Source organism: Homo sapiens, chromosome 2 (genome assembly GCF_000001405.40).
Source record: "Homo sapiens chromosome 2, GRCh38.p14 Primary Assembly".
NCBI classification, from domain to species: Eukaryota; Metazoa; Chordata; class Mammalia; order Primates; family Hominidae; genus Homo; species Homo sapiens.
In genome coordinates, this window is record NC_000002.12 from 119,177,373 (window position 1) to 119,202,349 (window position 24,977).

General features: G+C 47.7%; 1 long non-coding RNA gene across 1 annotated transcript in view, besides 2 other annotated features; it reads right to left on the bottom strand.

Annotated features, from left to right (window-relative positions):
* LOC107985941 (uncharacterized) overlaps window positions 1-24,977 on the bottom strand; it is a 35,549-nt gene that overhangs the window by 6,272 nt on the left and 4,300 nt on the right. The window lies entirely within an intron of this gene.
* Window positions 18,398-19,236: an enhancer, noted in NCBI's record as "NANOG-H3K27ac-H3K4me1 hESC enhancer chr2:119953346-119954184 (GRCh37/hg19 assembly coordinates)". NCBI's record gives its function as "activates a minimal SCP1, AML or CMV promoter by ChIP-STARR-seq in naive H9 embryonic stem cells {active_cell/tissue: H9 hESC(naive)}" and the evidence as "EXISTENCE:reporter gene assay evidence [ECO:0000049][PMID:30033119]".
* Window positions 19,237-20,074: an enhancer, noted in NCBI's record as "NANOG-H3K27ac-H3K4me1 hESC enhancer chr2:119954185-119955022 (GRCh37/hg19 assembly coordinates)". NCBI's record gives its function as "activates a minimal SCP1, AML or CMV promoter by ChIP-STARR-seq in naive H9 embryonic stem cells {active_cell/tissue: H9 hESC(naive)}" and the evidence as "EXISTENCE:reporter gene assay evidence [ECO:0000049][PMID:30033119]".

Sequence of the window (24,977 nt, forward strand, 5' to 3'; positions counted from 1 at the left end):
GGCTGCCAGAACCCACTCTGCATTTTGCCTCTTTGCACCCGAGGCTGGAAGAGCCCTGGAATCACTGACTCGCTGGAGCATCCATTCACCAGTGGCCATGGGAGCTGATGCATAAATATTCCAGCGCTCTGGTCCTTCGAGAGGGACACTCTGTGACATGCGTTGCTCACCTGTGACATGCCCCTCCCAGCGTCTCCTGACCTCCCCTCCCAAATGCACTACTTGCACTTGCTCTCATTCCCATTCTGCTTGCTCACAGGCTGGATCACACAAGACCACACATGCGTGTACACTCGTGCCTGCCCATGGCAAGTATTCAAAAACTGCTTGCTATTTTGTGGGTGGTGGTGAAGGGAATAGTATATTTATAATACTTCAGGCCAGGAATATACATCTCCTCTGTTTTCTGACCCTTCCAGGAGTAGGGTGGATTCCACCCGCTTTTTTGTAAGCCCTCAGAAGTGCTCCAGGCTCTCTGCACACCCCCAGATCTCCCCTGAGCTTCAGCCCTCACCCAGCTCCCCAGTCAATTTGGCCCCTGTGACGATGTTGGTGGGGGGGGCGGGGGCAGGGGAAACAGCTGGCCCTGGCTCCTGACAGGCACTCTGTTCCCATCTCAGCTGCCTGGCCCTGCCTGTGGCATCCTCAGAGACCCAGTGGTGAGTACTTCCTTGGCCCTTTAGGCCCCTTTCCCCAATCCAGTAGTGAGACACGGGGAGGGGCTGGCAGAGACACAAGTCTGCCACCCTTTCCTGGACAGCCTTCTCCTCTCTGGCAGCAGGAAACCACCCCCTACTCCCACTCCAGACCTACGCTCACACTCCCCGTCAACCCCAAGTGCCACTCCAGTCTGGGGTCCCTCCCTGAGCTTTCATAAGCATTGCAAATGCCCAATTCCTTCATTGGCTGGGGAGGGCAAAGCCTAAATGGGCAGTGGGCTATAGATGGTGGCCTTCCAGGCACTGGCAGCAGGACACTTCAGGGCATCATTCAAATGCAGAGGGGAGAGCATTCTGCCCAAGGGCAGGCCTATTTGGGGTGGGCAGGGCAGACTTACAATGGAGACTACCATACTTACGTGGCTCTCTGCAGGCCACGTGACCCCTTCCCTCTGCTCCATGTGCCCAGGATTCAAACTCAGGCTAGTCTGATTCCCAAAACTGTGGGCCTCAGTTTTGGGAAAACTGAGAAAATTGGGCCTCAGAATAGGGATAGGGATGGAGATGGAGATGGAAGAAAATAAACCAGGCCCTCTGCCTGATCCCCTCCCTACTTTGGCTCTGGGGTTGGGAGATGCTGCAGAGGCTTCATCCACTCTCTGCCCCGACCCCCTAACTCCCTCTCCTGCTCTGTCCACTGGGCTGGACCCTGTCTGCTGGGCCTATCAGGGCTCCCCGTGTGTCCTCCACCAGCCAGCAATGGCCAGAGAGCCCAGCTGGCCCCAGCCTATCCCCTGCCCACCCTGGGCCCTGCTCAGAGGACAAGGCTGAACTGATTCTGTCAGGAAGGGTTAGTCTTGTCTCAGGCCTGGCTGAATGCAAAAGGACGAGACAAATGCATGTGGACAGCCTCGATCCGGAGTGCTCTGTCAAACATGCTGGCCACCTCTCCGGGAAGATCACTCAGACTCCTTGCATCCCATCTTGGGAAGGCTGGCCTGAGGCTCCAGAGAGATGTTGGGAGATGCCAGGTGCCTGCAAGCCAAGGGCCCTCCGGGGAAGGGTGTCAGGACCCGCTGCTTCTTGCCTCTTGCAGAGAGGGCAACAGCTGGCTCCTTCTCCTGCCCCAGGTGAAGACTGATCAGATACTGATTCCAGGATGAATCCAGCAACATTAGGCCCTGCCTGGTCCCATGGTAGCATCTGGCTGGGCTTTTGGCCTATAGTCGAGTAGATAGAGGGAGGGCTGATAACTAAGTGACTACAACAGGACCTCCCTGTGTAAGGGTTCTAGCTTATTTCCACACTCTTCTGGCACAGACAGGTTGGCAGGGCAGCTGGTAGCAGGCACAGCAGATGGAATGTCAGGAATGAAATCCACAAGACTCCAAGCCCCTCCCAGGGTGAGCTTGCCACAGGCCACACCAGGAAGCTGAGCTCCTCACCCAAAGCCTGCCAGTGCCTACGTGGCAGTCATTCCCTTGTCAACAGACTTCCCACTGGCTTCTCTTGCTCCATTATTAAAAGCAAGAACCAAAAACTTCACTGAGGGGATAGAATCCCACTAATAAGCATGTCCACGCTTTGGGTCATCTTAGGGGCACAGAAAATCTGAGTATCCCCCATAGCATCAGGCAGAGCAGATTTCTTGTCAATTAGCTCAGTTGGTTGGAGGCTGCAGCCATGAACATGCTGGCCTCAGGGCCCTCACAACACAGGTGGGTTAGGGAATGAATGAAAGTTCAGCTATTATTCCTGCCAGAGACTCCAGGCCCAACCTGGCCTCTAATGAGCTATGTGACTTTGGGCAGGCAGAAAAGTGTCTCTGCTATGGTTTGAAGGCATCCCCCAAAGGCCTCCAATGCAACAGTGTTGAGAAGGGGGACCTTTAAGAGGTACGTGGGTCACGAGGGCTCTGCCCTCACGAATGGATTTGTCCTCATCGCAGGAGCGGGCTCATTATCATGAGAGTGGGTTGGTTATAAAATTGAATGTGGCCCCATTCCTTCTCTCCCTTTCCCCCATGTAAGGCCCCACCAGACATGGCCCTCCAGTGGTGGAGTTCCCAACCTCCAGAACCACGAGACAAATGAACTGTTATTTTTTCATAAATGACTCAGCCTGCAGTACTCTGTTACAGCATCACAAAATATGCTAAGACACCCCTGAGACTCATCGGCCACCTGTCTGTCAGCTTTGCCGCAAAAATGATTTGGGAGCAGCTATAGTCAACTTTCCTCAGACTACCTCCTGCTGGCACATTACGGCCACCTGCTGTGTGCCTGGTGTTTTTCTAGGTTCTTGGAATAAAGTGAACAGGCCGGGTACGGTGGCTCACGCCTGTAATCCCAGCACTTTAAGAGGCTGAGGTGGGCAGATCACCTGAGGTCAGGAGTTCGAGACCAGCCTGGCCAACATGGTGAAACCCCGTCTCTGCTAAAAATACAAAAATGTGCTGGGCATGGTGGCAGGTGCCTGTAATCCCAGCTACTCGGGAGGCTAAGGCAGGAGAATCGCTTGAATCCGGGAGGCAGAGGTTGCAGTGAACCGAGGTCTCGTCAGTATACTCCAGCCTGGGCAATAAGAGCAAAACTCCAAGTCAAAAAGAAAAAAGAAAAAAGAAAAAAAAAACAGAAAGAAAGAATAAAGTGAACAAAGCAGGCAAAAATACCTGCCCCCAGAAAGATCACATTCAGTGGATGTGCCCATGTTCCTTCCTCTTCCTAAAGCACTCACAAATATCAACATTCCCCTGAACTCACCACTGAGAGTCACTTCTCAGCGTGACAATGTTGACCAGTCTTCACCTGCTGTGTAAAGCAGGCCTGCCCTATAGTGACCCCCCAAACAGGTGCAGAAGGCAGGTCCACCATCAGCCCATGGCCAGCACACCAGTTAGATACCTGCTGTTGCCAGGCAGCTGTCTGCCAGCCCGTAGGCACTAGAGAGCCTTGGGGCCTTTCCTGAGCCCTTTTAAAGAAGTGCTTCCTTTAGACATGGACTCTCAGGCCTGCTCAGAGCGGGGAGGGTGCTGCTCCGCCCCAAGGCCTTCCCTCCATCCTTTCCTCTGGCAATCACCGTGATAGCAGCAACGCCCAGCCTGAGGCCTTGGGTGCTGCTTCCCTCAGGAAAACTGGCCAAAGAGTAGACAGCAGATACTTTCTCCATATTCCCACCCCCACAACACAGGCCAGCAGCACAGCAGCTGTAGACAAGATTTCATAAAGAACTGGAGGACAAGAAAGGGGAGATTAAGGAGCCCTAGGCTCTAGGGCCTGGCTCACACAAGAATGGTCTTCCTCCTGCCAACTTCTTGGCCTTTACAAAGGCCCCACCTGACCCAGCCCAGCCTCCTGGGCACTGGCCAAGTTCCACACCAAGACTACCAGACCCCGCCAAGTCCAGGCTCAAGAGAGAAAGCCAGACCCTCTCTCCTTCCACCTACCTGAGAGAGGCCTGTCCTCAGGTGTCTGGCTCACAGATGGGGGACCCAACTGGGAGTCACTCCCTTCTGGAAGCCCCAGGCCCTATAAACAGGTCCCCGGCCTCACTGCTGGGCCTCGGCCTGGAGACAGCGGCTCAGTGCAACACAACCACGCCAGAGCTGATCAGGGGAAACCCACGCAGCAGTTGAGGGGGCTGGGGCTTTGCGGGTGCAGTGAGGGGACTGCTTCCCTTCAGTGGAGTTGCTGCCGCAGGTGAGGGGAGGAAGATGAATCTGAAGGTTCTAACGTCAGCCCACAGGCTGAAGCGAAGGCTGGCCTGAAGTGTTCCACCTGGGCCCCCACCTGAGCGGCTGAAGAGTTCTGTTTCCTCAAGGCCCACAGAGCTCCTCAGAGGGAAGCTTTAGTAGCTATTTCCTTAGGAAGGCAAGTATGTGTGCAACATTTCCTAATAAAATGCAAAGGCTGTTGGAGGCACTCCAGCCCCCTCATTTAGCTCTGAGGTGTAATTAATACATAAATTAAGCTCCTGCAGACTCACAAATGTCCAAGAAAAAAAATGAAAAATATAATTAGTTTGCCCATCTGACTCCATCTGTCAGCTCTGAGCTCAATGCTCAACGTAGCAAATCCTGAGGGCTTTGGTCTCGCATTGGCTGGGCCCGGCGCTGCTCCTGCCCTGCTCCAGGGAAGTGGGCCCTCCGCAGCAGCTGCCCAGAGCCCGGGCTCTGGACTCAGCCTCCAGGGCAGCAAGGACTCTGGAGTACACAGACTGCAGGCTGGGAGCCGGGGCACTCGGCAGAGCAGCCAGGACCTTCTCTGTGGCCCTGAGCGCTGGCTAGGGGTGGCAAGGGCACCCCGGGGAATTTGCATGTGCCTCTTGCTGCCATGTTCCTATTTGTGCAGACCTGGAAGTGGGCGGCAGAGCCCTGAATGGGCTAAGACTCGCCCTCCTCCTCCAACCTGTCACCTCTGTCGCTTACTATCTGTAAGAAGAGAAAGGCTGCAAAGGGGAAAGGGAACTCGAGAGGAAGGCACCGAGGAGAAGAGAGGAGACAAGAGGGCATTGGGGGAGCAAAGGAGGCCACTCACACAGGAGGATTAGAATTAACAACTACCCCCACCCCAGCTCCCCCCAACACACACTTACACACGCTTGTATTACACCGGGGATCTCACACACATCCGGTCACTCAGTATTCAGCACTCTAGGAAAAGAACAAACAAATGGCTTGTCTTTCATCCCCCAAAATTACTTATGTCATAAAATTAATCCATATTTGTTTCAGAAACATTTAAATAAGACATAAGGGGTATGGCATTAAACGTACCCCCAAATGCCTCTTCCCCTTACAAGTGGGGATCATCATTAAAAACTTTTGTCCCAGAAGTGGTGACTCAGGCCTGTAATCCCAGCACTTAGGGAGGCTAAGGTGGGAGGATCACTTGAGGCCAGGAGGTCAAGACCAGCCTGGGCAACACTGTGAGGTCCTGTCTCTAACAGAAAAAAGAACAGGAAAATTTAAAAGGAGGAATGAAAACAATTGTTTAAATAATAATTTGGTGTGTATTATTTAAAGTACATTAATATTTGGTGCAATCGTTTTTGAAAGGGAGATTGTACTATACATGTTGTTTGGCAACTTAGGTGCTCGCTCAGGCACCAGGCCACACACATCTTGGGCATTCCACATCTGGGTTTTGAAAGTAAAATTATAATAAGAAAATAAGCAAAGGTCAAAATGGGTTGGAAAAAAATTATTTACACAGTGAGTTTTCTACTTTATCATACCAAGAAGATGACTTCTCTAATTATTATTATTTTTTTTTAAGATGGAGTTTCACTCTGTCACCCAGGCTGGAGTGCAGTGGCGCAATCTCAGCTCACTGCAACCTCCACCTCCTGGGTTCAAGCGATTCTCCTGCCTCAGCCTTCCAAGTAGCTGGGATGACAGGCTCCCACCACCACATCAGGCTAATTTTTGTATTTTTAGTAGACATGGGGTTTCATCAGGTTGGCCAGGGTGGTTGCGAACTCCTGACTTCAGGTGATCCACCTGCCTCGGCCTCCCAGAGTGCTGGGATTACAGGCGTGAGCCACCGTGCACCCGGCCCCTAATTATTATTTACGTAGAACAATATCAAAGATATTTTTCTTCCTAACTCTATACTCCTTGACAAGAAAAAAAAAGAAAAGAAAGGAAGAGCCCGCGATATATAATGGTACATTTGAAAATGAAGCATTTGTATGTGCGCTCACATGAGTACATATATATGTATTACATCCATATGCATGTATGTGCATAGACTGTTTCTAGAAGAATTCACAAGAAACTGGTAACATTTGTTGCCTCTGGGAAACAGATTGGCAACTGGTAGAAGGTGACTGACTTCATTATAAACATATTTTGTAATGTTTTAATTTTCTGTCACATGCATTATTACTTTTTTCCTTAGAAAGGATTTTGGTTTTGTCTATTTTATCGGAAGAGGCAAATTTTAACAATAAAAACAAAATGACTGACATTCAGCCATAGTCCCACCTCTCTGAATTACTCAGATCTACTGATTTACATGTAGATTAAATGCAAATGAGGGTGGCACTATGGTTGATTATTTAGCAGCTCAGCAATATGACCAATGCCCTGTTCCCTTCTACCCTTCTGCTCTGCCCCCTCGGCTTGTAGACTTTGTCCTTGGGCTTCCTAACCTCATTGCTACAAGAGTCAGGCACATGATCAAAACAAGACACTGCCCCAAGGTAGGAAAGAAGCCACCTCTTCCTTCCTATTTTTAGGAGAAAAATCTTTCCCCCAAAGCCCTCCTGCAGACTTAGCCCACATATCCCACTGGCCATATTTATTTCCCATGTCTATGCCTGAGCCCATCTCTGGCAAGGGAAAGGGACCCCTTTGGACATCCCAGGGCAAGCAGGCCTCCTCAGTGTTATCAGACCAACTACCCCTCTTGAAAACAATGACTGTATTCTTGTAACCACCCAACCTCAATCCAGAAACAAAATTCACAGATCACAGAATGTACCTACAAAAACATATTTCAAAAAAGAATCAAAACGAAGCCCTAGCTGTCACGTAAAGGAGAAAGTAAAAGTAATTCAAGACAAAAGAGTATGTTTTATAATAAGCAAAGGCTCAGGCAGCAGACTCTACAGAACATAATGAAGTGGTGAGATGCTTGCAGCTGCACACGGAAATGCCAAGGTTGCCCCATCATACATATAGACAGATGCGGGAGATGACTCACCCAGCACGAGGCCATTGCCACTGGCGGCATGATTTTCCAAAATGGCGAACAACTGTTGGTAAAGCTTCAAACAAAACACAGTGCAACCTCCCCTTGATTTATACAGTAGGATACTTCCTAGGAAATTTAGGGCATATTTAAAAACATGCAAAAAGATACTTGGAGCTCATACATCAAATGGAATGAAGTTTTAGGCTTAAAAAGGACTTTCAGCTACATAAAAGTCTCATGAGACATCAGAAAGTCACGTGGGACATGGAGCCATTTCCTCTTAGAAAGGACTGTCTCACACATTGTAAGGTATTTAGCCTTCCTAGACCCCGTTTATTGAAAGATGATAGCAAGGGCCCTCCCCACAAAATGTCAAAGCCCCCACCAATTTCCAGAACACACTTAGGGAATGGTTCTGTCCCTTTCGAGAACTCCTGGCTTAGGCCAACCTGCCTCTCCCAGCCCAGGTGACCTCAGAGCTGGGTGGTTGTCTGAACAACATTCAGGTTCTTGCAGGAAGCATAGAAGGCGATTAGAGGTTGGATAGATAGTCAACCGTCTGTTCATCACAGAAGCATTTGCACATATTTGTCTCTAGCTTTGCCTTTGTATACATATTTTTAAATACAAATAAAATACGTATTTAAAATATGGCCAGGTGTGTTGACTCATATCTGCAATCCCAGCACTTTGAGAGGCTGAGGTGGGAGGATCAACTTGAGCACATGAGTTTGACACCAGCTGGGCAACATAGTGAGATCCCATCTCTATAAAAAATTAGCCAGGTGTGGTGGCATGTGCCTGTGGTCCCAGCTACTCAAGAGGCTGATGTGGGAGGATCACTTGAGCCCTGGAGGTTGAGGCTGCAGGGAGCACTCCAGCCTGGGCAACAGTGAAACTGTTTCAAAAAAAAAAAAAAAAAAAGACAAACAACTGATTTACCGAATGGGCAGAACTTCATGGCACATACTTGGCTTTCTTTTTCTTTTTCCCCCATCACTGTTTTTCAGTGCTGGCTGGTCAGCTCTCCTCTTTCAGCCCTTGGATGACAGCTGGGGCTGTCCCATAGCTTTTCAGTCACTTTGAGCTATGTCATAACTGTGGTCATATTTTCAAGCATGAAAAGTACAGATTTGTCTCAATCAAAACTCAGTCTCACAAAAGCCACTTTCCTCCCCAGCTCAGTGCCCACCCAGTGGGCAGGAGGAGGGGCAGGTCTGTTCCTTTTCTCCCTCGCTGCCACCCTCAGTCCAAGTTCGGGTGGGGAAGAGTTGATTAGAGGATGGGGCAAAGTCTTAGAGGGCCGGACGTGGGTGATCCATCACACATACCCATTCTATCTTGGCCTCTAGGGTGGATTTTGAGGAGCCCCCTCCCCATGATGATCTCTGCACTCCACAAGGAGTTCCTCGATGTGACGGTGCACTCTCTAGCTGGTCTTCTGTGGCATGCCCCCTCTGGTACCCAGTGGTTCACCCCTCCCAACCAGCCTTTCCCTGGGGGACCTCTCCTACCCAGCAGGTGAGTCTCCTGAGTGGGCTTCTTTCAAGATACCTGAAAACCCAACTCCTGGGAGGTTCACTTGCTCCAAGGAAACTTGTACATCTTTGCCTTGCCTAAGAGTGGAGGAGCAGCTTCCCCACAACTGACCCTGTAATAGAAAAAAACAAGGTGTTTTGCCTATTCTCACACACAGAACTCCCAACACCAGATGTGTGGAGCATTTCCCACATACCAGGCAATTCTCCCTTGGACACCAGCTGGGTGTCCTCTAATTCAGTTCAGTTTTGATCCTATCTACCTGGAGATAGCATCAGATCCCACAGGTCGATGGCTCAGTCCTGCGAGACTGCCCCTCTAGAGATGCCAATCTCAAGTGCAGGTTGTGACCTGTGCTTTGAACCATTGACTATATATTGGGGCTCCCTCGACTCCCTCGTTGGGTGAGATTAATCTGCTAGAGCAGCTCATAAAACTCAGGGAAATGCTCTATTTATGTTTACTGGTTTATTAATAAAAGATGTAATAAAGAATACAGATAAGCACCAGATGAGGAGATACATAGGGTAAGGTCTAGAGGGCCAGCAGCTTCTGTCTCTGTGGAGTTGGAGTGTACCACCCTCCCAGCAAGCAGATGTGTTCTCCAACATGGAAGTTCTCTGAACCTCATACTTAGCTGAGGGATTTTTTTTTTTTTTTTTTGAGACAGGGTCTCACTCCGTCACCCAGGCTGGAGTGCAGTGGTGCCATCTCGGCTCACTGCAACCTCCACCTCCCGGGTACAAGTGATTCTCGTGCCTCAGCCTCTTGAGTCGCTGGGATTACAGGCGCTTGCCGCCACACCCAACTAATTTTTGTATTTTTGGTAGAGACAGAGTTTCACCGTGTTGGCCAGGCTGGTCTCAAACTCCTGATGTTAGGTGATCCCCCCACCTCGGCCTCCCAAAGAGCTGGGATTACAGATGTGTAGCTCAGGGATTTTTATGGAGTCTTCATCACATAGGCATGATTGATTTTCAAGTCCATTTCCAGCCCCTTTCTCCTCTCCAGAAAATGGGTCATGGGGCTGAAAGCTCCAAGCTTCCAATCATGGCTTGGTCTTTCTGCTGACAAGCCCCCATCCAGAAGCCCACCAAGAGTTGCCTCAATAGAACAAAAGATCCTCCTTTTACCCAGGAAGTTCCAGGGACTTTAGGAGCTCTGTGTCAGGAGCTAGGGTCAAAAACCAGATATTAGAACAAAAGATTCTCCTAGCACCTGTATCTACAAGGATATTAGGAGTGCTGTCTCGGGAATAAGGACAGAGACCAAACATTGGAACAAAAGATTATCCTGACACTTCTATCACTTAGAAAATCACAGCTGACCCTTCAACAATGCAAGGGTTAGGAGTGCTGACAACTGCCCAACTCCTGCCTCGCACACGGTTGAAAATTTGTGTATAACTTTTGACTCCCCCAAAGACTTAACTACAAGCCTACTGTTGACTGGAATCCTTATGGGTAACATAAACAGTCAATTAACAGATATATCGTATATATTTTATATACTGTATTCTTACAATAAAGTAAGCTAGAGAAAAGAAAACATTATTAAGAAAATCATAAGAGAAAATATATTTATGGTGCTCTACGGTATTTATTGATACCATAGGTCTGCACCATGTGTTTACAACATGTATCATCTGTCTGAAACGTCAGGCAACCTCAGCTGCTGACCTTAGTCTATGGTACATATCGAGCAATTCAACTTGTTCCTGTGAGGTCATGACCTTACTTCTTAGGAGCTCTTCCAGCATCACTAGTGGCACTTCGTATGGGTCCCATGATGCTATTCAAGGTTTACAGTATTGCACTAACCATGAAAATAAATGAGAACTGAGAGAGATCATGGTTTTCACTGCAATATGCAATTTACTGGAGATTGCAATAGTAAATTGTAAATTGCTATATGCAATCTACTGCTCACGTGGAGATGGTCAGTATTTCATAGTGTTTTAAGCAGACACTCGCAACACGAGCTCACCGCAATAGCAACAGGAGGTAGCTACAAAAATATTACAGTAGTACAGTGCTTACTACAGTGAATTTTATGTAGTTATGATTGAATACTTCATCTTTACATTTGTTTACATTTCCCTCAACTACAAATGGTGCCATGTATGATCTGTGTTTTTTGCATGTTTTCATAAATTTTAACTTTTTATAATAGATTTGTGTAATTTTATAGTAGTAACTTATAAAATAGACTAGTACTCGCATATACTTTATGCATTCATGACATACCTAACTTTTTGTTGTTCTTTTTTGATATTTCTGGGCTACACAAGGGCAGTGACATGATCGTAGCGCACTGTAACCTGTAACTGTAAGTTTTTTCAAACTGTCACAAATCTCAAAAAAAAAATCTAATATATTTAATGAAAACTATCCAAGTATAAGTTGACCCTTGCAGTTCAAACCTGTGTTGTTCAAGGGTCAACCTTACAAGGATTTTAGGAACTCTGCTGGGAACTGGGGACAGAGAGCAATGTGTATATTTTGTGTTATTTCAGGTGCGTTTGCTCATGCCTATAATCTCAGCACTTTGGGAGGCTGAAGGGGGAGAATTGCTTGAGGCCAGCAGTTTGAGACCAGCTTGGGCAACACAGAGAGATCATGTCTCTACCAAAAAGATCCCAAAAATTCATATTCTCCCTCCTCACTTTACCTCACACGATGCTCCAAATCAGTCTCCCACCTTAAGAATTCTCCATAAGCAAAAGCCCATCTTGAATCCCACACTCTCAGGGACCCTTGCCACACTATCCCCCCAATTTTCTTTTCTTTCTTTATTTATTTATTTATCTTTAAGACAGAGTCTTGCTCTGTCGCCCAAGCTGGAGTGCAGAGGTGCGATCTCGGCTCAGTGCAACCTCCACCTTCTGGATTCAAGCAATTCTCCTGTCTCAGCCTCCTGAGTAACTGGGACTACAGGTACATGCCACCACAGCTGGCTAATTTATATATATATATATTTAGTAGAGATGGAGTCTCACCATATTGGTCAGTCTGGTCTTGAACTCCTGACCTCAGATGACCCACCCGCCTCAGCCTCCCAAAATGCTGAGATTACAGGTGTGAGCCCCCGTGCCCGGCCTCCCAATTTTCTCATTGGCCAGTCACTCTGGTGCCCTGGGGACTAGCATCCAGCTAAGGGATAGATGCCAGCTGCTCTCTCAGTGCTATGGTTTGAATGTTTGTGCGCCCTCCACAATTCATGTTGAAAATCCCCAGCACAACAGTATCGAGGGGTGGGGTCCTTAGGAGGTGATGAGGACATGAGGCCTCTGCAGTCATGAATGGATTAGTGCCCTATAGAAGGGCTTTAGAGGCTGAGTCCCACCTTCCATCCCTCCACCATGTGAGGACACAGCATTTGTCCCCTCCAGAGGATACAGCACAGGTGCCATCTTTTAAGCAGTGAGCAGCCCTCACCAGACACCAAACCTGCCAGTGCCTTGAACTTGGACTTCCGTCCTCTAGAACTGTGAGAAATAACTTTCCATTATTTATAAACTACCCAGGCTCAAGTGTTTTGTTACAGTGGCACAGACGTACTAAGACTTGTGGGTACCCACAATTCCATAAGCCATTTTCTTTGCTTGGCCTGGGCATGACCCCCTGTGCTGTCCCCGTGAAGAAAAAGGATAAACCAACAAACTCTATGAATTAACTTCAGTGAATCTCGTATGTTTCTAATCTTCTGCTTTGGAGCTTTGGCGATAAAGAAAGATTAGGAAATTAGATTAAAAAAAACTAACATTATCTTAAATGACCCATATTCCCAATCAATATCTCTTCCCTTGAAACTTGGTGTGTATAAATCCAATACTTTTTAATGTATTTGTATATACATATGTAAACATATACAAATATATACATCATATATATGTATGTATCTGCCTAAATAACCACCTGGAGTTAGCAGGTTCCATACCTGCAGGATGCAAGCAGGGATGGGCAGAGGCAGGCTGGTCAGCTTCCAGGTATATATATATATATATACTCGGAAAATACTTGCTATTAGTTTGGTGGTTTTATTATTAACGTAAATGATGTCTTGCTGCACATATTATTCTGCAAGTTGGTTTTCCCACATAATGTGTTGGACATCTTTTAGCCCCATTTCACACTCTTAGCCTGCCTTTTGCACAAGAGTTGCTGTGGCAACAAGCTGCCCCCAGGTGTAACCTGACAGCTTCACTTCAGCTGCACCAGGTATGTCTTTCTTTCTGCCCCAGGCATCACGGTATACAGGCAAATCTTGAAGTGCCAGGGAGTCAACCCTCCCTGGAGCAATCCTTGCCCAATAGGAGAAGGAAGCCAATGAATAAATATGCCAGGCCTCGAGGTCTTAGGCCCTCAGTCTAAGGCATAGTCTACATGGTTTCTCTGGGAGTCCTCAGTTAAACTGAGCCCCGACTGCCCACAGCAATGGCCAGTGTTAAAAGAACAACCTTAACCAGATTAAATTTAACACAGTTTAACTGAGCAAAGGACAATTCGTGACTAGGGCAGTCTGCTGAGCCAGAGTAGGTTTAGACAGACTCTGGTGGAAGATTTATGGACAGAAAAAGGAAAGTGAAGCACAGAAAACAGAAGTGAGGTTCAGAAACAGCTGAATGGGTCGCAGCTCGTCGTTTGCCTTATTTGAACACAGTTTGAAAAGTTGGCCACCTTTGATTGGCCAAAACTCAGTGATTGACACAAGAGTACGTTACAGCCTGTTTACATTTCCCTGTAGGCTATAGTTTACTATGCACAGAGAAACCTTTAGGCTGAACTTAAAATATGTAAGGAGGAAGCTTTAAGCTAAATTTGATTTTTGTTGTTGTTGTTGTTTTGTTTTGTTTTGTTTTTTGTTTTTTGAGATGGAGTTTCACTCTTGTTGCCCAGGCTGGAATGCAGTGGCATGATCTCGGCTCACTGCAACCTCCGCCTCCCAGGTTCAAGTGATTCTCCTGCCTCAGCCTCCCGAGTAGCTGGGATTACAAGTGTGCACCATCATGCCCAATTAATTTTTGTATATTTAGTAGAGGGGGTGGTTTCACCATGTTGGCCAGGCTGGTCTCTAACTCCTGACCTCAGGTGATCCATCTGCCTCAGCCTCCCAAAGTGCTGGGATTACAGGCGTGAGCCACCGCGCCAGGCCACTAAACCTCAGCCTCCCAAAGTGCTGGGATTACAGGCGTGAGCCACCGCACCAGGCCACTAAACCTCAGCCTCCCAAAGTGCTGGGATTACAGGCGTGAGCCACTGCGCCAGGCCACTAAATTTAATTTAACAGTAGCTTAACACATGGCTGGATGGGCTTTTCCTACTTCCTTGTTTCATTCTTCCCAGTCCTCCAACTCTTGACTCCTAGATTTATGGACCCAAATAAATGACTCAAATGCAGTCCCTTTGTCTCAGGTTTTTGGTGGAATCCAAGCTAAAACACTAAATAAAAAATGTTGTTAAAAATAAGTTTATTTTGGTCATTATTGATCCACTTGGAGTGGTCCTCAAAATGGGATCTAGGGAATCGGTCCCTGAGGCTGGTTTCTGGGAATCCACAAATGCAAAACTATTTCCATAGTCACACTAAGGAGGTGTGGCCTTTTCAAGAAATTACATTACCCGTAAAGTGCAATAGACGGAAAACAGAAGCCCATATGAGAATCCAGCTATCTTCTAGCAAGCCAGAAGTAAAAGATGCCAGGTGCAGTGGATCACATCTATAATCCCAGCACTGAGGATTGCTTGAGCCTGGGAATTTGTGACCAGCCTGGGCACCATAGTGAGACCCCCATCTCTACAGATAATTTTTAAAATTAGCCAGATGTGGTGGTGTGTGCCCATGATCCCAACTACTCGGGAGGCTAGGAAGGAGGATCACCTGAGTCAGGAGGTCAAGGCTGCAGTGAGCTGTGATTGCACTACCACACTCCAGCCTGAATGATAGAGTGAGACTCTGTCAAGAAAGAAAGAAAGAAAGAAAGAAAGAAAGAAAGAAAGAAAGAAAGAAAGAAAGAAAGAAAGAAAGAAAGAAAGAAGGAAGGAAGGAAGGAAGGAAGGAAGGAAGGAAGGAAGGAAGGAAGGAAGGAAGGAAAGAAAGAAAAAGAGATCTGCAAAAAAATGTAAAACAATACCACTCTTCTCACTAAATTTTTGTACTTGGAAAACATAGTCATTTTTCACAAAAATGCTATTTATATTAACATAAGTATTTTGATGTGCAATGGACTTATTTTTGTTATTTTCACATAAAGATTGTTTAAATTTCTTAGTTTTAATTTCTAATACTGTAAATATCAGTAGATATAACCCATGTAAACAAAAGCTTTTTGGGGTCCTCAATAATTTTCAAGAGAGAAAAAGATTGCCAAGACTAAAAAGTTTGATAGCTATTAATAGAGTTCATTGCTTTTAACTTCTGAGTCCCATGCATACTTCATTATTATTATTATTATTATTTGTAAAGACAGGGTCTTGCTGTGTTGCCCAGGCTGGTCTCAAACTCCCAGGCTCAAGTGATTCTCCCATCTTGGATTCCCAAAGTGCTGGGATTACAGGTATGAGCCACAGTGCCCTGCCTCTTCTTTTAAAATCTAATTATGTATTTGTTATCTCTTACATTTTTCCTATCTTTCTTTTTTCTGATTATGGCCCAAAAGGGGAAGATTTCTGCCCATGCTCATGTTACTATCTTGAAATTATTTCTTTTCAGACTCTCTAGTTCAGGAAAAAGGTCCCCTGCCACATCAAGTGGCCACGGAGGAGCTTGGGCCTGTGATGTCCCCTCCCTTCTGCCTAAATGACCACCTGGAGGCAGCAGGTTACATACGTGGAGGATGCAGGCGGGGATGGGCAGAGGCAGACTGGTCAGTTTCCAGGGCACACTTCGGGGGCATACAAGGGACAAAAATGTGACGGTGGCTCAGGAGGGCACCAAAGATGGCCAAAAGCTTCTGCTTTTAAGGTGGCAGTAGGAGGCAGTTAATGGAAAAATAGAAACCAATCAAGCTACGTCTGCCACCAATGAAAATGAATTATTATTTATTCAACAAAATATAAGCTTTTTAAGAAAAAAAAAATAGCAAACGCTCAACCCACTTGCTAAGTTCCGTTGGGGTATAATGGCATCAGCTCTGAGTGCCAACTTACCTTGGCAAGGTGGTTGCACGCCCTGAGGATATGTACACCTTCTCCGCTGCTGGCCAGCTAGATGACCTTGAGCAAGCCACCCACCCTTCTGAACTTCGTCTATTTGGAAAATACAGACATTAATACCTCATAGTTTGTAATGAGGCCTTAGAGTCCACATATTAATCGTTCAGAACACAGCTCAAAAAAATCTAAAACTTCTGGTGGGGCACAGTGGCTCACACCTATGATCCCAGCACTTTGGGAGCCTGAGGTGGGAGGATAGCTTGAGCCTAGGAGTTTGAGACCAGCCTGGACAAGATAGAAAGGCCCCATCTCTATACAAAATATAAAAATTAGCCAGGGGTGGTGGCACATGCCTGTAGTCCCAGCTACTCAAGAGACTAAGGTAGGAGGATCGATTGAGCCCAGGAGTTTGAGGCTGCAGTGAGCTATGATCACACCACTGCACTCCAGCCTGAGTGACAGAGCAAGACCCTGTCACCAAGAAAAAAAAGAGAGAGAGAGAGAGAGAGAGGTGGCTTCAGTGGGCCGAATAGCAGAGATCCACTGGGAGCATTAGCAACATCAGGGCCATTGCTTCAGCAGCCTGGAACTAAAGAGGAAGAAAGCAAGAAGCTTCAGGAGATTGAACAGTAGGAAGGAAGGAAGGAAGGAAGGAAGGAAGGAAGGAAGGAAGGAAGGAAGGAAGGAAGGAAGGAAAGAAGGAAGGAAGGGAGGGAGGGAGGGAGGGAGGGAGGGAGGGAGGGGGAGAGGGAAGCATATGAGAAAGCGAGGCTAGGAGTCTTGGAGTCATCCTTGACTCATCTCTTATTGTAGTCATTGCCAGTACTCACAGCTCTCAGACAACAGTGAGGAAACAAGTTATTTTCAACATTTCAGGAAGCTAAATGGAAACCATGCACACAACAAGGTTTCAAAGTTAATTGAGGATCAAGATTTTCTGCTGTTGTCTGGTAAGTTATCAATTCTGATTTTTTTAAACCTGATTACAGGCATCCACAAAAAAATATGCAACTAACATCATGTTTAATGTTGAAAGACTAAATGCTATCCTCTGGGATTGGGAGCAAGGAAAGGGTATCCACTCTCATCACTCCTGTGTACTTAAAAAAAAAAAAGAAATAAAACATATGTTCACACAAAAGTCTGTATGCAAATGTTTATAGTGGCTTTATTTATAATTCACCCCAACTGGAAACAACCTAACATGACCTTCAGCTGGTGAATGAATAAGCAAACCATGGTACATCCATACAATGAATTACTAGACAGCAAAAAAAGAAACTGGTGATATAGGCAACAACCTGATGAATCTCAAATGCACTGTGCTTAGTGAAAGAAGCCAGGCCCAAAGGACTACATACTGTATGATTCAATGTTGTGACATACTGGAAAAGGTAAAATTATAGGAACAAATCAGTAGTTGTCAGGGTCTAGTGGCTAGGGAAATAATTGACTACAAAAGGACAGCAAGGGGGAATTTTGGGGGGAATTGGAACTGTTCTGTATCTCAAAGATGGGCATGATTGATTACATGATTATGCCAAAATTCATTCATCAAAAATGTAAATTTTTATGTATGTAGATAGATTTTATTTTAAGTGAATAAAAGGAACAGGCAACTTGGAAGCAAAAGAGCAGGAGCCGGGCCAGGCCTGCGGCTAGATTCAGAAATAGGGTTAGAGGGAATGATCGAGGGGAATGACCCAGGCAGCCACAGCTCTGGAGAGACGGCTGCAGGTGGACAAAAAGCAGGTGGAAGCGCCCAGCAGGACCTTGACCAGACAGGCAATGGGAACATAAAAGACAGCAACAGATTGCAACATCATGTCCATGGGCTCCCAAACCTGATATCTCAGAATCACTTCCAGAGCTGATTGGAAAGACAGATTCCATTGCTAAGCATAGTGGCCTGCACCTGTAGTTCCAGCTACTCCAGAGGGCTTGAACCCAGGAGGTTGAGGCTGCAGTGAGCTATGATCGCACCACAGCGCTCCAGACTGGGTGACAGAATGAGACAAGTCAGAATGAAAGAAAGGAAGAAACAAAGAAAGAGAGAGGGGGAAAGAAAGAAAGAAAGAGAGAGAGAAAGAAAGAGAGAGAGAGAAAGAAATAGAGGGGGGAAAGAAAGAAAGAGAGAAAGAAAGAGAGAGAAAGAAAGAAAAGAAAGAAAGAAAGAAAGAGAGAGAGAGAGAAAGAAAGAAAGAGAGAAAGAAAGAAAGAGAGAGAGAAAGAAAGAAAGAGAGAGAGAAAGAAAAGGAAGGAAGGAAGGAGAAAGAGCAAAAGAGACAGAGGGAAGGAAGGAAGGAAGGAAGGGAGGGAGGGAGGGAGGGAAGAGGGAGAGAAGGTGAGAAGGAGGGAGAGAGGGAGGGAAGAGGGAGAGAAGGTGAGAAGGAAGGAGGGAGGGAGGAAAGAAGGAAGGAGGGGAGGGAGGAAGGAAGGAAGGAGGGGAGGGAGGAAGGAAGGAAGGAAAGAAGGAAAGAAGGAAGGAAGGAGGGAGGGAGGGAGGGAAGAAGGGAAAGAAAGAAAGGAAGGCAGATTTCTACTGAGGCTGCCTCTTTATTCCCCTCTTTATTCCCCTCAGAGAGGTCATTTAACCTCTCTGATCTCTGTGGTTGCTGTAGGGACTAAAGGACACAATCCTTGGGAAAGTGCTTGGCACAGAACTTTTCAGCTTGCTATGGGGAGTGCCAGCCACCGGCAACAGGTGTGACTGCAGGGGAAAGCCCCGTGCAGGTGAGAGAAAGGGGCCAGAATGAGAAGGGCTTTGTAAGGCTGGGACCACTATGTTGGGTCTGCTATGGAGGGGGGAGCTCAGGAGTAGGCAGGGCAGATTTGAACATGGGAAGGGGAAAGCTGCTGCTGGAAGCAGTGGCCCATGCCCAGGTGCATGGAGAAGAGAGCCTGGAAGCCTCTCTTGGTCCCTCTAGGCTGGCAGAGGCAGGGCCCCACATTGGCAGTGGTGTGAACAATTTCCCCTCATCATGGGGCTGCTCATGGCTGTGAAACATGGGATGGCACTAGATTTGGTCATTAAGTAAATAGGATAAAGAAATAATTGGAAAATGGATCCCTGCCTGGAAGGAGTGGAATTGTTCCTGGGGCTATTGTTGTCCGGCATCCTGCTTTCTGAGTAATCTCCCGAGCCAGGCAAGGAAGGATGTCAGGCTTAGGGCTGATGAGAAACTTACACTTGAAAAGAGCTCAAAATTACCCATGACAATGGAAAAGCCTTTGTATCCTGAACAGAGAGAGGAAAAAGACTCTGAATCTTCTCTGGGGCGGGAGGAGAGGGAAGATAGGAGGGCAGTCTCGAGTCACAGAATGTCAAACCCAGGACCCCTGTGTCTTTCCAAGTTGGGGGCACTGGCCAGGGAAGGATCCTGGTTCTTCCGGTGTCTGGGATGATGAGGCTGGTCCTCAGGCAGTGGGAGGCTGGAGGAGGGGGAATGTGTGAAGACCACATGCTTTCGCCTGCAAGAGCATCCATCCATGTCTTGGTCACTGCAATTTACATCCTCCCATTCAACCCTCAGCACACCCACCAAACCAAGCTCCTCCTTGCACCTTGATGGGCAGAAAGTTGGAGTGATGATTATCTAAGACAGAGCCCTGAGGTGAAGAACTGGTTTTCTGGTGGAGGGGGTGAGGGGAGGATGGAGGGAGCTATCCCTTCCCTGTCCCCGCAAATCCTTCAGCAAAAAATCCATAGTGTTGAGTCAAAATGCCAATCAGATGTGCCTCTCAGCAGCTTTAGGCCTGGACTTTGACCTCAGCCCCAACCCCCACCCCCACAGGCACTCAGCCTAAGCTCCCATTCTGCACCCTCCCCACCCTGGTTTGCAAAATGCATCAAAGCAGAAGCTGTGCTTTTGCCTTTCCTTGTAACTTCTTGTCTGCAAGCTGTATTAGATGCTTGCTGGTGTTTAAAACATTTTCTATTTCTCTAAAAAAACAAGTTGGGGCACCCCAAAATGAAGCCTCCCAAGTTCGGTCAAACATGCAAGATTGCCACTCAATTTCTCCATTCTAGATGAGAATAGCGAGTCCCAAAGGCTCGTGGGTGTCTGCGGCGTTGCACTCACTTAACTCACTTGTTCAAAATACAGGTGCCAGGGCCTCCCCCCCGAGCCACAGAACCTAAATCCCCAGAATCAATAACTTTCTTTAAATAACTAGATGCTTGATTTAAAGGGAAAACTCTATTTAAAGTGCTGTATCCCTCCTTAAAGACAGATTGTCCTACACGAAGCAGCTACATGCAAAATGAATTATAGGAGTGTCCTTGGTTTTACAAAAAATGAAAAGCATTGCAATTCTCCAAACATGATAAGAAAGGAATTTTTTTGTTAAACTCTGAGAGCAAAACAATTTACTAGAAGATACAGATGCAAGTTGAGTAAGCAAGCCAATAATGGAGAAAGGAGGAATTTTTACAGAAGCAGTTTTTCCTCACCCCATCTGCATTTCATGTCTATTAAAACACATGTCATGCAACGAAAAAATCAAAGCAGTATGGTTGGGTACACACATTAGTGGCTTTCTGTATGGTTAGTGAGATGAAAGGACAGAGAAAGCTATGCTGGAGTCATCAGGACATGGTAGAGCCCTCTTGTGAGCTGCTGGAACACATCAGTTGCACGTACGTTCTCTTGCTGGTGCAGCCCATCCGGTCAGAATCTGTCGCTCACAGTAGCTGTTACTGAATACTGTCTGCTTCTTAGCTGAAACCTTACCGTAGGACCATCCGGCCCTGCTCCTTTCCCGTTAACATGTAAGTTGTTCTCAGACCCTACCTTTTCCCTTGGTTTCTCATGGACCGTGGCCAGGACTTGGGTGTCCACAGCCACACCCACAAAAGAAGTGCCTGTTCCACCCAGGACCTCTGGGTTAAATGACCTCTCTGAGGCCACACAGGATCTACAGCACAAACTCAGCTCAGATTATAAAACTTGCACTCTGAACGACTGCCCTAGCCAGCCCCACCAAGGCCATGAGGGGCCTCCCAGAGCCAAGTGCGACGGCTTCTCTTGGCCTCTGCCTCCTTGACCTGCAAGCAATATTTGACCCCACTTCCCTTCCCGTCTCACACCCTCCTGACCTCCTCAGCTCTCCTTTCTGGTCTCTCTTCCCCTCTCCTCACACCTCCAATTGGATCTTCAGCCTTCCTCTCCTCTCACTCCACATTTTTCAGCTGGATTCCTGTGGTTTTCACTCTTATCTCTCCCTATGCCTGCCAAATCTGTGTGTTCAGCTGTCCGAACTTCTCAGCTCTACATGTGTGTTTGCAAAGGCTTCACCATCCTCCCCACACTTCCTCTACCAGAGGCTGCACCATGGGTCACTGGGCCTCAATCTTCCTGCCCACTCAGGTAGAGGCTCTAGGGTCAGCTTTGCCTCCTGCCGGATGCTGCACTGCTGGAATCAGCTGCCCACACTTCTCTCCTTTTGTATGGTGTCCTCACTGAAACTTGGGCGGTGTCCCTTGGAGTGCCTTGAGAGCTGATGATTGCCACCCTCTCTAAGAGCCTACAGACCCCTGATGGATATGTGTCCTGGAGCCCCTCACACAAGCCCAGCCCTCTGTGTTAGCTAGACAGTCAAGTGGGTGCACACAGGGCTAGCACCACCGCGGCTCAGAAGCCACCTTCCCCTGGAAGCCACTCCTTATATCTGGGCACTTTCTCCTCTGGACTACCCTTGCATTGTGTTGTTCTATAGGAGGTGCTGGAGACAGTGATAAGAACCCATGGCCCCTGCCCTCAAGAAGTTCTCCAGTTTTATTGGTGGGAGCAAACAAATAAACAGACAGACATGGAGAAAATGCATCAGGTCGGGTTTGCATGCAGGAAGTTGTCACTTGCGAGGGAATGACAGAAGCAAAAGTGGGCAGAGGGAGAAGTTAAACCAAGGTGCAGTCCCACCAGAGGCCTCAGAAGAACCCATGAGAAGCTCTGAAACTGGATGGGCTTTCAGAGTTGTACCAAATGGAGGCAAGAGGGCTGGCCTCTACCCCTGTCTCATCCACTAGAATGTGGGCTGCTCCCAGAGAGGGTGTGAGTGAGTTGGGGCAATACATCTGCCTTCAGTGGAAAGCAATTAATTCCCAGAGAGGGTTGCAGCCATTGCTCCTCCAGCAGCCAGGGATATGAGTACCTGTGTGCAGATGGGGACCTGGGCAACATGCCACAGCATCCATGACACGGCACAGACAGGGATGCCCAAAGTGGGGGCTGGCCAAGTCAAAGATGGGGGAAGTAATGAGGTGATCATCAGATCTTCCCATTTCACCTGGGCATTGACCTACATGTAGGTGTTTTTCAAGTGGACAATCTTTAGTTCCCTCTGCTCCTCATCATACAAGTATACCAGCAATGGCTAATGTTATCTTTGCACTTGCTACATGCCCAGCTGTGTCTTAGCTCTTCACATGCATAGCTTATTTAATATTCACAAGAACCCTACGAATTAAGTAATACTGGCTAGGCACAGTGGGTCCTGCCTGTAATCCCAGCACTTTAGAAGGTCAAGTTTGGAGAATTGCTAGAGCCCAGGAGTTCAAGACCAGCCTGGGCAACATGGTGAAACCTCATCTCTACAAAAAATACAAACAATTTGCTGAGCATGATGGCAGACACCTATAGTACCTGCTACTCAGGACCCTGAGGTGGGAAGATCACTTAAGCCTGGGAGGCAGAGGCTGCAGTGAGCCAGGATCGCACCACTGCACTCCAGCCTGGATAACAGAATGAGACCCTGTCTCAAAATAATAAATAAATAAGTGGGCCAGGCACGGTGGCTCTTGCCTATAATCCCAGCACTTTGGGAGGCCAAGGCGGGTGGATCACTTGAAGTCGGGAGTTCAAGACCAGCCTGGCCAACATAGTGAAACCCCATCTCAACTAAAAAGACAAAAATTAGCCGGGCATGGTGGCACACTCCTGGAATCCCAACTACTTGGGAGGCTGAGACAGGAGAATCACTTGAACCTGGGAGGCGGAGGTTGCAGTGAGCTGAGATCATGCCACTGCACTCCAGCCTGGGCAACAGAGCAAGACTCCATCTAAATAAATAAGTAAATAAATAAATAAATACATAATAAAACTATTGCCCCTGTCTTAATGTAAATGGAACATGAGGCTTAGAGAGGTAAAATGACTCAAGGTCACACAGTAAGTCAAAGGCTGAGCTATCTCTGCCCTTTCTTCTTCCTGGTGTACACCTTTCACCCTGCAAAGCTCAGTGCCTACCTTACTTGCTCTATCAAACCTTCCCCATTTCCCTCAGAAAGACCAAGTCCCCCTCCTGGTCTCTAGAGAACAAGCTGCCCTGGACCACACACCTTGGCTTCCAGCCCCTTCACCATCCTAGACGAGGTCACCTAGAAGGTTCCATCCAGACTGTGAATGTCCCTCTTTAACTACAGTCTCCAGTGAACCCACAACCTCAGGGACATATGACCTTGGAGGGTTAAGTGGGATTTCATTTCCCTGACTCTGGACCTGGGCTTTGCTAGCACACCTCTCCCACTATGATAGCATTCGCTTAAGGCAGCTGAGCCCCGTCAGGGGCTCCCTGAGCTTGTGGTCAGCTCAAGCCATCACATCTTTCTCATCTGTGCTCTGGGAAGCTGCCTCTGCTTGGTCTACACAGCTGAGACAATGGAGCCTGGGTGGGCTCAGGGGCCCCTTCTGCTGGGAACCTGCTTTGAAACAACATATCCATTGCATTCACTGGAGGAGCATCAGAAGTAGACGGTAATTTGTGTTTTTTCTTCACTGGATGCCCTAGGGTGGGTTCCCCCGAAGCAGACCCTGAGATGAGCATTTATGCAACTGATCGAGGATGTGCCCAGGAGAACCGGATAAGGGACTCAGAGTTGGAGGGAAGATACTAAGAAAATCATGCTCCAGGCAAAGTCCCAGCCTCGGCTTGATATAAATTACACTGACTTGAGGCAAGGGAGCTGGGCTCTCACACCCCGGCTCCAGTCAGCCACTGTTTCAGGGCTGCCCCAGGAGGACACCAGCTCCCAGCACTCTTGCCGTCTGTGCATGCATTCAGCACACTGGCACCCCCTCAAAGGCCAGCCATTTAAGAGGGGCACAGGTGCTGGGGCCACAAAGCACCCAGAGCCCAGTGATGGGTGCACAGGCACTGTAAAAGTGATATGAGGGCCGGGTGCAGTGGCTCATGCCTGTAATCCTAGCACTTTGGGAGGCTGAGGTGGGCGGATCACCAGGTCAGGAGATTGAGACCATCCTGGTTAACACGGTGAAACCCTGTCTCTACTAAAAATACAATAAATTAGCTGGGTGTGGTGGCACACGCCTGTAGTCCCAGCTACTCGGGAGGCTGAGGCAGGAGAATCACTTGAACCCAGGAGGCAGAGGTTGCAATGAGCTGAGATTGCACCACCGCACTCCAGCCTGGGCGACAGAGTGAGACTCACCTCAAAACAAAACAAAACAAAACAAAACAAAAAAAGGGATATGAGAGGATCAGAGCAGCGTCCCCTTGCCTCCTGTTACCAAGAAGGTACCAAGCCGTTGTTCCCTCAGGTTGTTCCTCATTCCATGTTGCTCAGCCAGCCAAAATCAGAAGCTGCCAAGCCACCTGGGGAAACAAGGCACCCACCGAAGCTCTTGTTTTCAAAAGTTTGAGCTAATTAAAGTTGATGGAGCTGGATTTCCCCTGAAGGAAAGGATACCAATGTTTGGGAAGGTTAGGATTCAGAGAAAGAAGCATTTGAAGTCTTCCCCAGGGCCTAGAAATTAAAGTCTAGAGATTTGGGAGGGTCTCTAGAAGGGCAGGAACGCAGGCCTTCACCTGAACCACTTCCTAAGCAGATAGCCAACCTCATATGGGAGATTCCTAAAGGGGCTGACATCAAATCCTGAGACTCCATAGTGAAGACCCCAAGCTGCAGC